This window comes from Homo sapiens, chromosome 1 (assembly GCF_000001405.40).
Source record: "Homo sapiens chromosome 1, GRCh38.p14 Primary Assembly".
NCBI lineage: Eukaryota > Metazoa > Chordata > Mammalia > Primates > Hominidae > Homo > Homo sapiens.
Genome location: NC_000001.11, coordinates 105,925,252 through 105,938,699, shown reverse-complemented (window position 1 = coordinate 105,938,699; position 13,448 = coordinate 105,925,252). Strand labels below are relative to the sequence as shown.

At 36.8% G+C, this 13,448-nt stretch overlaps 1 long non-coding RNA gene across 1 annotated transcript in view; it reads left to right on the top strand.

Annotated features, from left to right (window-relative positions):
- The window catches only part of LINC01677 (long intergenic non-protein coding RNA 1677), a 100,630-nt gene extending 89,554 nt beyond the window's left edge, over positions 1-11,076 (top strand). Inside the window, exon 6 of the long non-coding RNA NR_146609.1 lies at positions 10,986-11,076. This is a non-coding gene — a long non-coding RNA (long intergenic non-protein coding RNA 1677). The remainder of the gene's footprint in view (positions 1-10,985) is intronic.
- Positions 11,077-13,448: the final 2,372 nt, after the last annotated feature.

Sequence of the window (13,448 nt, the reverse complement as noted above, 5' to 3'; positions counted from 1 at the left end):
ATGTAAATCATTTCTATACATTCACAACAAACTATCCAAGAGGGAAATTGAGAAAAACTGCATTCATAGTAGTATCAAAAATAGTCTTCCATTCCATTAGAAGAAATGGAATATTTAGCAACAAACTTAACCGAGTAGGTGAAAGACTTATACACTGAAATTTGAAGCACATTGTTGAAAGAAATTAAAGAAGACACAAGTAAATGGAAAGGCATCCTGCATCCTGTATTCATGGATTAGAAGACTAAATACTATCAAATATCATCATACTATCCAAAATTATCTAAAGATTCAATGCAATTTTTATCAAAGTCCCAATTAGAGTTTTTACAGAAATTGAAAATAAAAATCCCCCAATTTATAGAAAACTGCAAAAAAAGCCCCAAACAGGCAAAAAATGTGAGTAAGAAGAATAAAGCTGGAGGCATCACATTTCCTGAATTCAAAATATATTACAAAACCACATTAATTAAAACCGTTTGGTACTGGCATAGAGGCAAACCTATAGACCAATGGAACACATTAGAGAACCCTGAGATAAATCTATACATAAATGTAGTAAACCAATATTTAATAGGTGTGTCAGGAATACACAGTGGGTAAATGATAGTTTTTTTTTTCAATAAATGATGTTGGGAAAACTGGCTATCACACACACACACAGAAATTGGATCCTTATTCCATACACAAAAAAAAAAAACTCAAAATGGTTTACAACATTAAATATAACACCCAAAACTGTAAAATTTCTTCAAGAAAATAAAGGAAAATACTTTACATTGATGTTGCAGTAATTTCATGGCTATGACATCAAGAGCACAGGCAACAAAAGCAAAAATAGGCAGTGGAACTACATCAAACTGTAAAGTCTCTGCACAGCAAAGGAAACAATAAACAAAAGGCTACCTATGGAATGAGAGAACATATTTGAAAACCATATATCTTATAAAGGATTAATATCTAAAACACATAAAAAAACTCGTACAACCCAACAGCAATAAAAAACCAAATAACTAAATTTAAAAAGGGACATATGTCTTAAATAGCTATGTCTTTAAGAAAGAAAAGCAAATGCCAAAAGGTATTTAAAAATATATTCGATATCACTAGTTATCAGGGAAATACAAATCAAGACCACATTTATAACTATCATACATATGTTAGGATGGCTGTATGTTAGAAAAAACAGATAACTAGTGTTAGTGAGGATGTGAAGAAATCAGAACCCTGATACACTGTTTCTGGCAAGGTAAAATGGTGACACTGCTATGAAAAAAGCTATGAAGGTTTTTCAAAAAATTAAAAATAGAATTACTATATGAACTAGCAATTTTACTTCTGGATATTTGTCCAAAAGAACTGAAATCAGGATATTGAGGAGATATTTACACTCCCACATCAACTTACAGCATTGTTTACAATGGCTAATGTATGCAAACAACCTAAATGACCATAGATTATTATTCAGTCTTAAAAAGAAAAAGAAAATCCAGGCAGATTCCACAACATGGGTGAACCTGGAAAATGTTATTCTAAGTGAAATAAACCAGTCACAGAAAGACAAACAATGTATTATCTCACTTATCAGTATAATCTAAATCAATCAAACTTACAGAAGCAAAGAGTAAAATGGTGGCTGCCAGGGGCTGGAAGAGGGAGAAATGGGGAGTTGTTCAATGTGTGTAAACTTTCAGCATGAAAGATGAATGAGTTCCAGAGATCTTCTGCATAACATCGTGCCTATAGTTAGCAATAATGTATTGTGCACATAAAAATATGTTATGAGGGTAAATCTCATATTGTGCTCTTAACACAATAAAAAATAAAAAAGAAGCATGGGGTTTGCCATAAAAGTAAATTTCTCCTTAATAACTTCTATCACATTTTGAAACAGTATGGAGAAGGAGGGTAAAAAGTTAAGCATGCAATCTCTACCTGCAGAACTTAACATTCCTGCTCTTTCTCAGATCGGAAGTATAAGGTACCTACTGGGGCCTCAGCTGAAAATTTCAGGAGAGCCACCCTGAGGAGCAAGGTGAACTAGATCTTACTCTGATTAACTTGAAAGAAGCAGATCCTTAGACTATTTGCCAAACAAGACAAAGGAGAAGTATCTCTAGCAGAGGATAACATTTGCAGTCTCTATAGTTCTTTGTCGGCTCATGAAATTTAAAAAAAAATCGTGATATATGTGAAGCATTAGAAAAATATGACCAAAAATCAAAGAAAGTTTTAAAAGAAAGAAAATTTATACATAATCCAAAAATTGGAGTTAGTGGAAAGGGATTTTTAAAAATATCTGTGATTGATAAGCTGAATAAAACAGAGGATGAGATAGAAGAAAAAACTGATGAATTTAGAGAAATTCAAGAGGTAATTCAAATGGATGAAAGTAACCAAATGGATATTTTAGAATTATAGAATTTAATTAAATACTTACTGGATGAATTTAACTGCAGGATTACTAAACATAAAGGCAATTCAACACAAAAATGTTAAACAGAAGGACTGAGAGGAAAAAATGGTGTAAAAAGAACAACCAATTCTAATCTATGGAGAAAGAAGATGGAATAATGCTTAGCCCTGGAGGCATACTGCTGAGATTGACAAAAGGGGCCTCGTGTTGTATTGGAAATGTTCTATATTTCAGTCTTGGTGGTTATTCCATGTGTTTGTAAACATATGTAAGATTAATGAGTAATACATGTAAATATTTTGCACTTTATGTATGTTATAGGTGTGTTTAGTTGTGAACATTCATTGTTTTTACACTTCTATGTTTACTTTTCATTATATATACTACAATTGTATAAAGTGCTCAAAAAAATTTTTTTTGAGACAGTCTCACTCTGTCGCTCAGGCTGGAGTGCAGTGCCATGATCTTGGCTCAGTTTAGCCTCCAGCTCCCAGATTCAAGCGATTCTCCTGCCTCAGCTTCCCGAATAGCTGGGATTACAGGCATGTGCCACCAGCCTGGCCAATTTTTCTATTTTTAGTAGAGAGGGGCTTTCATCATGTTGGCCAAGGTGGTCTCAAACTCCTGACCTCAGGTGATCCACCTGCCTGGGTCTCCCAAAGTGCTGGAATTACAGGCATGAGCCACTGCGCCCGGCCCAAAATGTATTTTGAGTAAATTGTATTTATTTATAATACCAGTATTGGTAGATAAGATTGATTCAATCAAGAAACCATCGAGTATCTCTAGTGTTATAATTGTACTCAGGTAGATCCATTAGTAGATTTAAAATCTAATGTGGGAAAGATATGTGATGGAATCAAATACAATAATATAATAATTTGTTTAACTATTGTAGATGCAGTGATGTGGAGGCAAAAAAGAGAATATTATTGATTAAAGGAAGATGAATTTACTTTGCCCGCATGGTTTCAGAAGTTATTATTAATCAGAATTGACTTAGACATATAGTCTCTTTTCTAAGGCTTTATAGTTGTATTTTAATAAATTATTACATGTAGTATATACTCTATGGTACTTCCTTCCAAGTATTTAACAGCTGCTTTGCAACAACACTTTGAATCATTCATTTAAAATATATAGAAAAATGTTAGTACATAAACATTTTTCACTGTCACTCTGGATCTTTCAGCATACCCTCTCAGCCTGCAGCTCTACAGGGAATTAGGTGACAGGTTCAGTCTGTCATCACTATCTGATACTCAGGGAGGAAGACAGCTTCTGAGAATGACAAAATGACGGTTTTGAAATATGATAGGCCACTTTATAACATGGCTTCATGACTGACTGTGACTGGTACTTTTATGTCACTTTCTGACATACTTTAAAAGAACAGTTGTTGGAAATGCTAATAATTCAGTTCAACTGAGAGTGTTTCTTTTCAATGAAGTACTACAAAAGCTTTATTCAGGCACAAGAAAATGTACATCCTGAAGGAGTTATCTGGTAGGATAATCCAATTTTCTTTAAATGACTGCTTCATGTATTACTTGTAAGGAGGAGAGGTAAAATATTTCATTAACTCAGTACATAAGATAACACAAAAATAAGTAAATTTAAAATATTCATTTTTTTTACATAGTATTTGTTCTATAATCCTTTTAACAAACTACTTTTGTATTTAGAAATAGAGTAGATAATTGGACATATATTGGTGATTTATGTTTTTTAATGTACGTTTACAAATGTATATACTAGACATGCTGCCAATTAATCATTCTATGTTAAGCCGTAATATTTGCATTGCAGTCTTTCAGGTGGGAGCACAGCTTTATTTTGCACCCAATAGTCTGTATCTCTTTAATTCCCGCTTTTTTAACAGTCTATCTTTCTTCCATAAGGTGAATGTTCTGAGTCAACTTTTCACACTGGAAGCTTATCTGAAAGCCCAGTAAGGTCAGGAAACACAGGACAAATATCTAGTTAGGGGGTAACTAAGACTTTGTGCTTGTTTTGTGATTGATTTTGATGTGGAACTTTTCCTTAGTTCAGCTAAAGGTGGGGTCCTAGTCACCTGGACACAAAAATTTAGGCTCACAGACCATTTGAAGGGTGAGTAAGGCAGGGTTTTATTGGGTGAAAAGGGAAAAAAAAGCGAAACAGTGACCCTCCACAAAGCCATAGTCCCTGCTGGTGAACTTCCCACCTGGCAGTTTGACTCCCAGTTTCCAGGGCCCAGGCCCCTCCCCACAGCAAGTGGGTGAACTTCTGTGGCTCCACTCCAGTGTGCATTCCTCCCAGTGCACAGGCTTGTTGGAGTTTTGCCAGGGAGTCCTCCCCACCTGGCTGTCTCAATTTTGGGACTTACATAAAAATTGTCTTCAACTTTTAAATATAACGTGTCAGAATGCCTTGCAAATGCATTGGAATATCTGTAAGTGCCTGTTTGTCCCACATCTGCCTTCTGAGAACAGATTATATAGACAGTCAGTTATACATTATTGACCATGTTTTGAATCTTGTGAGTGCTGTCATGGTCAAAACACGCTGGTTGAAAAAATTCCCCGAAACATTAAAAGCATCCTATTATATCTTTGTTGTCTTGTCTAGAGAACTCAGTCTCTTAGTATCATATATTGGGTGGTACGTCAGTTAGAATTTGGTCACGTGGAAGTAATATAAACCTGGCTAAAAAGTGGTTTAAACATCGAGGGAATATACTGTTTGCTTAATCAGATTGGTAGATATGGATGATTCTATTCAAGAGTGGTATTGAGGATGCATCTCTATCTACCATTACATACCACCTTCTTCAGCATATTGGCTTTAGACACTAGGCTCCAACCTCAGTTCTAACATGACTATCAGAGTTTTAAGCATTATGAGCTCCCAAGACATCCTGCAATGCAAAATAGAAATAAGAGAAAAAGTGTTTTATCCTCCAGGTGTTCTCCCGTTTATTAGAAAAAAAGAAAAAAAACAACTTTCCCAGAAGCTCCCTAATAGGCAACCCTTCATTTCTCATTGACAATCAATTTCAAAGGGATTTGTATGTGCATGACTGATCTACAGCAATTGTGAGGATTCACCAAAGCTGATCATTGTCCCCTAAAAAAAAAATAGAGCATCTGTTAGCAAGAAAAATAGCTTATGGCAATTGTACTAGTCTGTTTTCATGCTACTGATGAAGACATACCCGAGACTGGGCAATTTACAAAAGAAAGAGAGGTTCAATGGACTTACAGTTCCATGGGGCTGGGAAGCATCACAATCACGGCAGAAGGGAAGGAGGAGCAAGTCACATCTTACATGGATAGCAGCAGGCAAAAACAGAGCATGTACAGGGAAACTACTGTTTTTAAAACCATAAGATCACATGAGACTTATTTACTATCACAAGAATAGCAAGGGAAAGACTTGCTCCCATTATTCAGTAACCTCCCACCAGGTCCCGCCCACAACACTTGGGAATTCAAGAGGGGATTTGGGTGTAGAAACAGCCAAACCATATCATTCTGCCCTTGGCCCCTCCCAAATCTCATGTCCTCACATTTCAAAACAAATCATGCCTTCCCAACAGTCCCCCTAAGTCTTCACTCATTTCTGCATTAAATCAAAAGTCTACAGTCCAAAGTCACATCCAAGAAAAGGCAACTCCCTTCCGCCCATGAGCCTATAAAATCAAGAGCATGTTAATTACTCCCTAGATACAATGAGGGTACAGGCATTGGGTAAATACAGCCATTCCAAATGGGAGAAATTGGCCAAAACAAAGGGGCTACAGGCCCCACGCAAGTCTGAAATCCAGCAGAGCAGTCAAATCTTAAAGCTCCAAAAGGATCTCCTTTGACTCCATGTCTCACATCCAGGTCACACTGATGCAAGAGGTGGGTTCCCATTTTCTTGGGCAGCTCTGCTCCTGTGGCTTTGCAGGGTACAACCTCCTTCCTGGCTGCCTTTGTGGGCTGGTGTTGAGTGTCTGCATCTTTTCCAGGTGCACAATGAAAGCTGCCAGTGTATCTACCATTTTGGAGTCTGGAGAATGGTGACTGTCTTCTCACAGCTCCACTAGACAGTATCCCAGTAGGGACTCTGTGTGGGGGCTCCAAGCCCACATTTCCCTTCTGCACAGCCCTAGCAGAGGTTCTCCATGAAGGTCCCACCCCTACGGCAAACTTCTGACTGGGCATCCAGGTGTTTCCATACATCCTCTGAAATCTAGCTGGAGGTTCCCAAACCCCAGTTCTTGACTTCTGTGCACCTACATGCTTAACACCACATGGAAGTTGCCAAGGCTTGGGGCTTGCACACTTAAAGGCATGGCCTAAGCTCTATCTTTGCCCTTTTTAGCCATGGCTGGAATGGCTGGGATGCAGAGCACCAAGTCCCTAGGCTGCACACATCACCAGGACCCTTGGCTTGGTCCAGGAAAACAATTTTTTTCTCCTAGGCCTACACGCTTGTGATGAGAGGGGCTACTGTGAAGACCTCTGACACGCACTGGAGACATTTTCCCCATTGTCTTGGGGATTAACATTTGGCCCCTCATAACTTATTCAAATTTCTGCAGCCAGCTTGAATTTCTCCTCAGAAAATGGGATTCTCTTTTCTATTGCATTGTCAGGCTACAAATTTTTCAAACTTTTATGCTCTTGTTTCCCTTTTAAAACTGAATGCCTTTAACAGCACTCAAGTCACCTTTTGAATGCTTTGCTGCTTAGAAATTTCTTTGACCAGATACACTAAATCATCTCTCTCAAGTTTAAAGTTTCACAAATCTCTAGGGCAGGGGCAAAATGCTGCCAGTCTCTCTGCTAAAACATACCACGATCACATTTGCTGAAGTTCCCAACAAGTTCCCTATCTTTATCTGAGACTACATTAGCTTAGATTTCATTGCCCATTTGGCTATTAGCATTTTGGGCAAAGCCATTCAACAAATCTCTGGGAAGTTTCAAACTTTCCCATTTTCCTGTCTTCTTCTGAGCTCCTCCAAACTGTTCCAACCTTTGCCTGTTATCCAGTTCCAAAGTCACTACCACATTTTCAGGTATCTATAGCAGCACCCTACTCTACTGGTAACAATTTACTGTATTAGTCTATTTTCATGCTGCTGATAATGACATACCCAAAACTGGGAGACTGGGCAATTTACAAAAGAAAGAGAGGTTTAATGGACTTACAGTTCCATCTGGCTGGGGAGGCCTCAAAATCATGGCAGAAGGAAAAGAGGAGCAAGTCACATCTTATATGGATAGCAGCAGGCAAAACGAGGGCTTGTGCAGGGAAACTTGTTTTTAAAACCATCAGATCTCATGAGACTTAATTACTATCACAAGAACAGCATAGGAAAGACCTGCCATCATGATTCAGTTACCTCCCACTGGGTCCTTCCTACAACACATGGAAATTCAAGATGAGATTTGGGTGGGAACACAGCCAAACCGTATTAGCTATCAAGTAGAAGAGCAAAAATGGCATCATTTGCCACAGATGATCATTATGCAAGTGATTGATCCATCTTTTTTTGGTGAATTTAAATATATGTGTAAATAAATAGATAATGCATTGATTGGAAGGATTAGATAAGAAGTGTTAAAAGTAGAAACAGCCACAGACAAGGGAAGAAAGAGTCATTAGTGGGGGTTACTAGATCAAAATGTAATAGACATCTGATTCAAAGGCAATAGCAAAATTACTAGTATACCGTATCTATTGTCTGGGTCATTAGAGTTGCTTATGGGTCACTGGAGCTACTTTTATGTTCTGAATGGTGATAAATGATTTTCCAGTGCTCTTTGATATCTTGCCCTTTTTATAGAGTGTTGATTTTCTCTTTCCCTGACTTCTCTGTGTTCTCTAAAAATAAACACTACCACCTGAGTGAAGGCACATGAGAATACCTGTGCCCCTTGAAAACTAAAAGCACAAATACAGAGGGACAATATGAGTTATGATTACATTTATTCCACAAATTATTCATTCGATGAATATGTATTGACTTCTTACTAGATGCCTGGTGTTATATTTGTCTCTGGTGATAAAGGGTAAATTACAAAGCCTTTGCACCCACAGAAGTTAATGCAACTAAGGAGGAAGACAATATGCAGGAATACATATAGATAAGTAAAATACTCTTCTGGTAGTGTCAGAGGCATTCTAACCAGAGCGACTCCATTTTGAGTGAACACTAGGAAAATGAGGCTGAAACTTGCTGGGCTAAATTTCCAGAAAATTAGGCATTCCTAGCTTCTAGATGTTTATGGTTAAGGGAACAAATCAATAGTGTTTACTAAGACCCAGACTGAGAGTGTTCAGATATACTGATATCTAGAGAACAAAGTCATTCCTAATTTTGCTTTAAAGATAATAATATTGATTCTTGCAAAACATAGTAATTAAGAAAATTAATTCTTTATCACAGAACCTTGAAGCAGAACACATCTCCCATATATACAAACATTGCACCTAGGGTGAATGTGTTCTTTCTCTTACTTTCAGGAACCTCCTACTCTGTCTATGGGTAGCTGTCCTTTTACCACTTTACTTTCTTAATAAACTTGCTTTTTCTTTGCACTTCGGACACATCCTGAATTCTTTCTTGCATGAGATCAAAGAACCCTCTCTTGAGGTCTGGATTGGAAACGCTGTCTGGTAACAGTAGGAGTGAGGTTGGTGATGACAATGATAATGCAAATTTTCATGTAGTGAGAAAGTTCATAAGCACATTTTGGTTATTAGTACATTTAATCACCATTTTATCATAGGTGCAATGTGTTCAATGTACAGATGAGAAAACGAGACACTGATAAAACTTTTAAAAAATAAATAAGCTTGGTAAGGGAATTTTCAGTGAATGCTGGAATATCCACTGACGTACAATTGTGTGAAAGAGAAAAAAAGCAAAAAAAAGACCAGTGAATAAAAGGAAGAATGTAAGAGAATAGGTCCCACAGTTATGCAGTGATAGATTATGTAAAACTTTTTAGGCCATGATAAGAGGTTTAATTTTATACTAAAATCAGTGGGAAGTTATAAATGCATTTAGAACTAGGACTACTGTGATTAAACTTTAAAAAAAATCAATCTGCACTGCTTTGTGGAAAATAGAGCTTAAAGGTATCAAACTGGAAGCAAGAAAATCCGTTAAATATTATGGTAGTGCTACCAATCGATGGTGTGGGTAGGTGGCAAAAAATTAATAAATGGAAGTAATCAAATTCAGAATGTATTTTGAAGACAGTCTCAAAAGTACTTAAAAGTGCTGAAAGTTGACCAACCTGAGCCTTTTATATAAGGGGCTACAGTTCAGACATGCATAATTGGCTGTAGTTACACCATCCAGAGCTAAAAAGACTAAAAAGACTTCTGAAAAGGCATGGCAATCCTTGGAAAATACCATGCCCCTTTTATAACTGCATCTGCTAAGGGATTAGAATGTAGGCTGAAGCTGCTGGAAGCTAAATATACAATATAAAGAAAGAACCTGCGTGAGAATGGAGCACGAAGGAAATTAGCATCAAGACAGAGAGAGATATTGCCGTGCAATTTTTTTTTTGACTAACTGAATCCAACTCTATGTGAAACCAATTTTGCTTTTCAGATGTTTTAAATGGGTTAGAATAGGGATTTTTGTCATTTGCAAGTGAAATCTTCCACACTATTTTGTAGCAGGTTAGAAAATACTGATAATTTATGTTCTAACCTCTATTATTAAACAAATGAAGTAAGTGGTATAAACTTGCTATGCCAAAGTTTTCTTCTATGTAAAATGGGAATGATGATACTATCAACATCCCATGGTTGGTATAAGAACTAAAGGGAATAATATGCCCTTCAATCCATATTGACAATGAGTCTTATTTTTCCTTTCACATGTTTTAACCATTAGCCTACATAGAACAACAACTCAATTTTGGGGAGTTACTTTGTATATTCCCGACTCTATGCCTTTATTATGCTCTATCTAACAGCACTATTTCATGTAAGGAACATTTAATATGCTTGCGTGTATTGAGTATTGTATATTGTTAAGCATACAAAAATGAAAATATGTAATTCTTGCTCTTGAAATATCCAAACTAAGTTGAAATGCATTATGAAATTTATTGAATAGTATTTATATAAGCGTGTGTGCGTACATGTTAATTATAAATGTCAATAAAAAGGAAGAATGAATAAATAGAATATGAAAGTGAAGCAAAGGAAAATGAACTGGGCAGTGAAAGGGAGAGGAGTGGGTGGAGAGTGAAGTTGAGGTACCCAGGTTTCTTTGGATTTGCACTGATAATCTCTATTCTTGTGCAACTACTGAAATACTTTTGGCAAATGATTATGCCATAAACCGTTTGTTAAAATTTATCCTAATAATTATGAAGACAAAAATATACTTACATGTTACAAAGAAGGAAGAAGGCAACTGTGAGGAAGTTGTGATAATATATATAAATCACCCATTTGCTATTTTATTGGTCAGCACCCATCACCCTGTGATTGTGTATAATGAATTCCATATTATGAAATAGTAAATATTTCTTCTTTTTCTGTGTATATTTTTGTAATTTTTTAGATTGACCCATCATTTGGATGACCCGAAACCACAGATGCAATAGAAGAATGGAACAAATTTGTACATTTTGTCAATAAAAACTTTATCTTCAGCCCCAGAGTTTAGACACCTATATGAAGCTTCCAGGGATTGCTTTTGCCAGTTTCTCTTCCTGAAATACTCTCCCTTGAATAGTTGAAATGGTCACTCCCTTTCCTAAAATATTTCTCCTCAGAGATAATTTCCAGCATCATCATCATCTTATCAAAAATGGCACCATCTGGCAATATCTGACCCTTTATCTCACTTTATTTTCTTCTAGAGCTGTTATCAAAACCTCTTTATTGATTTGTTTTCTGTCTCCTAATATGTAAGATACTTGAAAAATGACATTTTGCTTTTTTCCCGCAATTTTAACCACAATTCAAACACCGTATTCTCATTAGATACTTGAGCCATATGTGGGCAACATAGTAGTTGCTAGGAAAAAATGATGATTTTTAAATGAATAAATAAAAATAAAGTAAAATTAATCCTTAGAATATTTTATTTTGAGACAGTTGTGGATTCACATGCAGTTTTAAGAAATAATTGAAAAAAATATTTTTAAGCTAAACACCAGATAATCCAAACGTTTTCCCATTTTATAAGGTAGTCAGTTTTCATAATCAGCTAGTCTCTTCACCCTTAAAAACTACTGGAAAAAAGAGCATTACCATTCAATCAAGCTGAATCTACTGTTTATTTTTTCTTAAGTCACATTCCCCACCCTTTATGTGTTTGCTCAATCAAATCAATTTAACAAAATTATAGAAAAAAGAAATCACACACCAGATCATAAACAGAAAAATTAACAGTATAGCCGGGCATGGTGGCTCACGCCTGTAATCCCAGCACTTTGGGAGGCCCAGGCGGGTGGATCATGAGGTCAGGAGATCCAGACCATCCTGGCTAACACGGTGAAACCCCGTCTGTACTAAAAATACAAAAAAATAGCCGGGTGTGGTAGCGGGCGCCTGTAGTCTCATCTACTCCGGAGGCTGAGGCAGGAGAATGGTGTGAACCCGGGAGGCAGAGCTTGCAGTGAGCCGAGATTGCGCCACTGCCCTCCAGCCAGGGTGACAGAGAGAGACTCCATCTCAAATAAATAAATAAATAAATAAATAAATAAATAAATAAATAAATAAAAATAAAATAAACAGTATATTCCATTCTTGCACATTTACATGGACATATTTTGCAAAGATAGAAAGAAAATGGTCCAGGTGAGGTGCCTTATGCTTGTAATCCCAGCACTTTGGGAGTCCGAGGCGGGCAGATCACTTGAGGTCAGGAGTTTGAGACCAGCCTGGTCACCATGGTGAAACTCCATCTCTACTAAAAATATAAAAATTAGCCAGATGTGGTGGCGTGCACCTGTAATCCCAGCTACTTGGGAGGCTGAGGCAGGATAATCTCTTGAACTCAGGAGGTGGAGGTTGCCATGAGCCAAGATCGTGCCATTGCACTCCAGTCAGGGGGACGGAGCGAGACTCCACCTCAAATAAATAAATAAATAAATAATAAATAAAGAAAACCATAAATATTACAAACCTATGATGTCAGTGCATTTTCAGATTTCTTTCTCAGTAGATGACTATCATAGACATTGTATTACAATGCAAAGAACAGAAAAATAAATGACTTATAGAAATAGAAGATACATAGTATTTTTTTGCCAAGCTCTCAAAATATAGATCATAAGGATATAATTTGTTTAAAGTAAAACTTTATTACCTAATGATTCAGTTAGTTTATTTTTGGAATCATTCATTTATTGATTCATCAAATATTGGTGCAACATATTTATATTGAACACTTAGAATGTGCCAGGCACTATATAGGGGTTGTATGCTTCAGAGAACAAAACAAAAGATCTTGTTTTCATGAATTCTAAGCTCTAACTGGAGAATACACACACACACACACACACACACACGTGTGCATATACCCACAGAGACAAAACAATAAAATATGAGGTCTAGAGGTGATACATCTATGCAGGAAAATAAAGCAGTGAAGAGAGTAGAGAAGCATAGGGCACTGGGGAGTGAGCAGCTGTAATTTTAAATAGTAAAGTAGAATGGCTAGAGAAAGCCTCCTTTGAAGTAATTTTTGTTCAAAGACCTGAAGAAACTAATCAGTGAATCACATTTTGTCCTTGGGAAAAAGCTGGCCAAGCAGTAGGAACAGAAAGAACAATGAACATGAGGCAGTTATGTTCCTGCTATTCAGGGTGGGTAGAGAAGCAGGTATCTTGGTCAGAGAGGAAATAGGAGTTGAATAATTTAGGGCTTTGCAAGCCAGTGTGACACCTTTGGATTTCGCCCTGAATGTGATGAAAGGGACCTGTATATTTTGAGCAGGGGGTATCATGCCTTTACTTTTGCTTCTTTGGATCACTCTAGCTGCCAATAGGGAGGCAAGGGCAAAAGCAAGGAGACC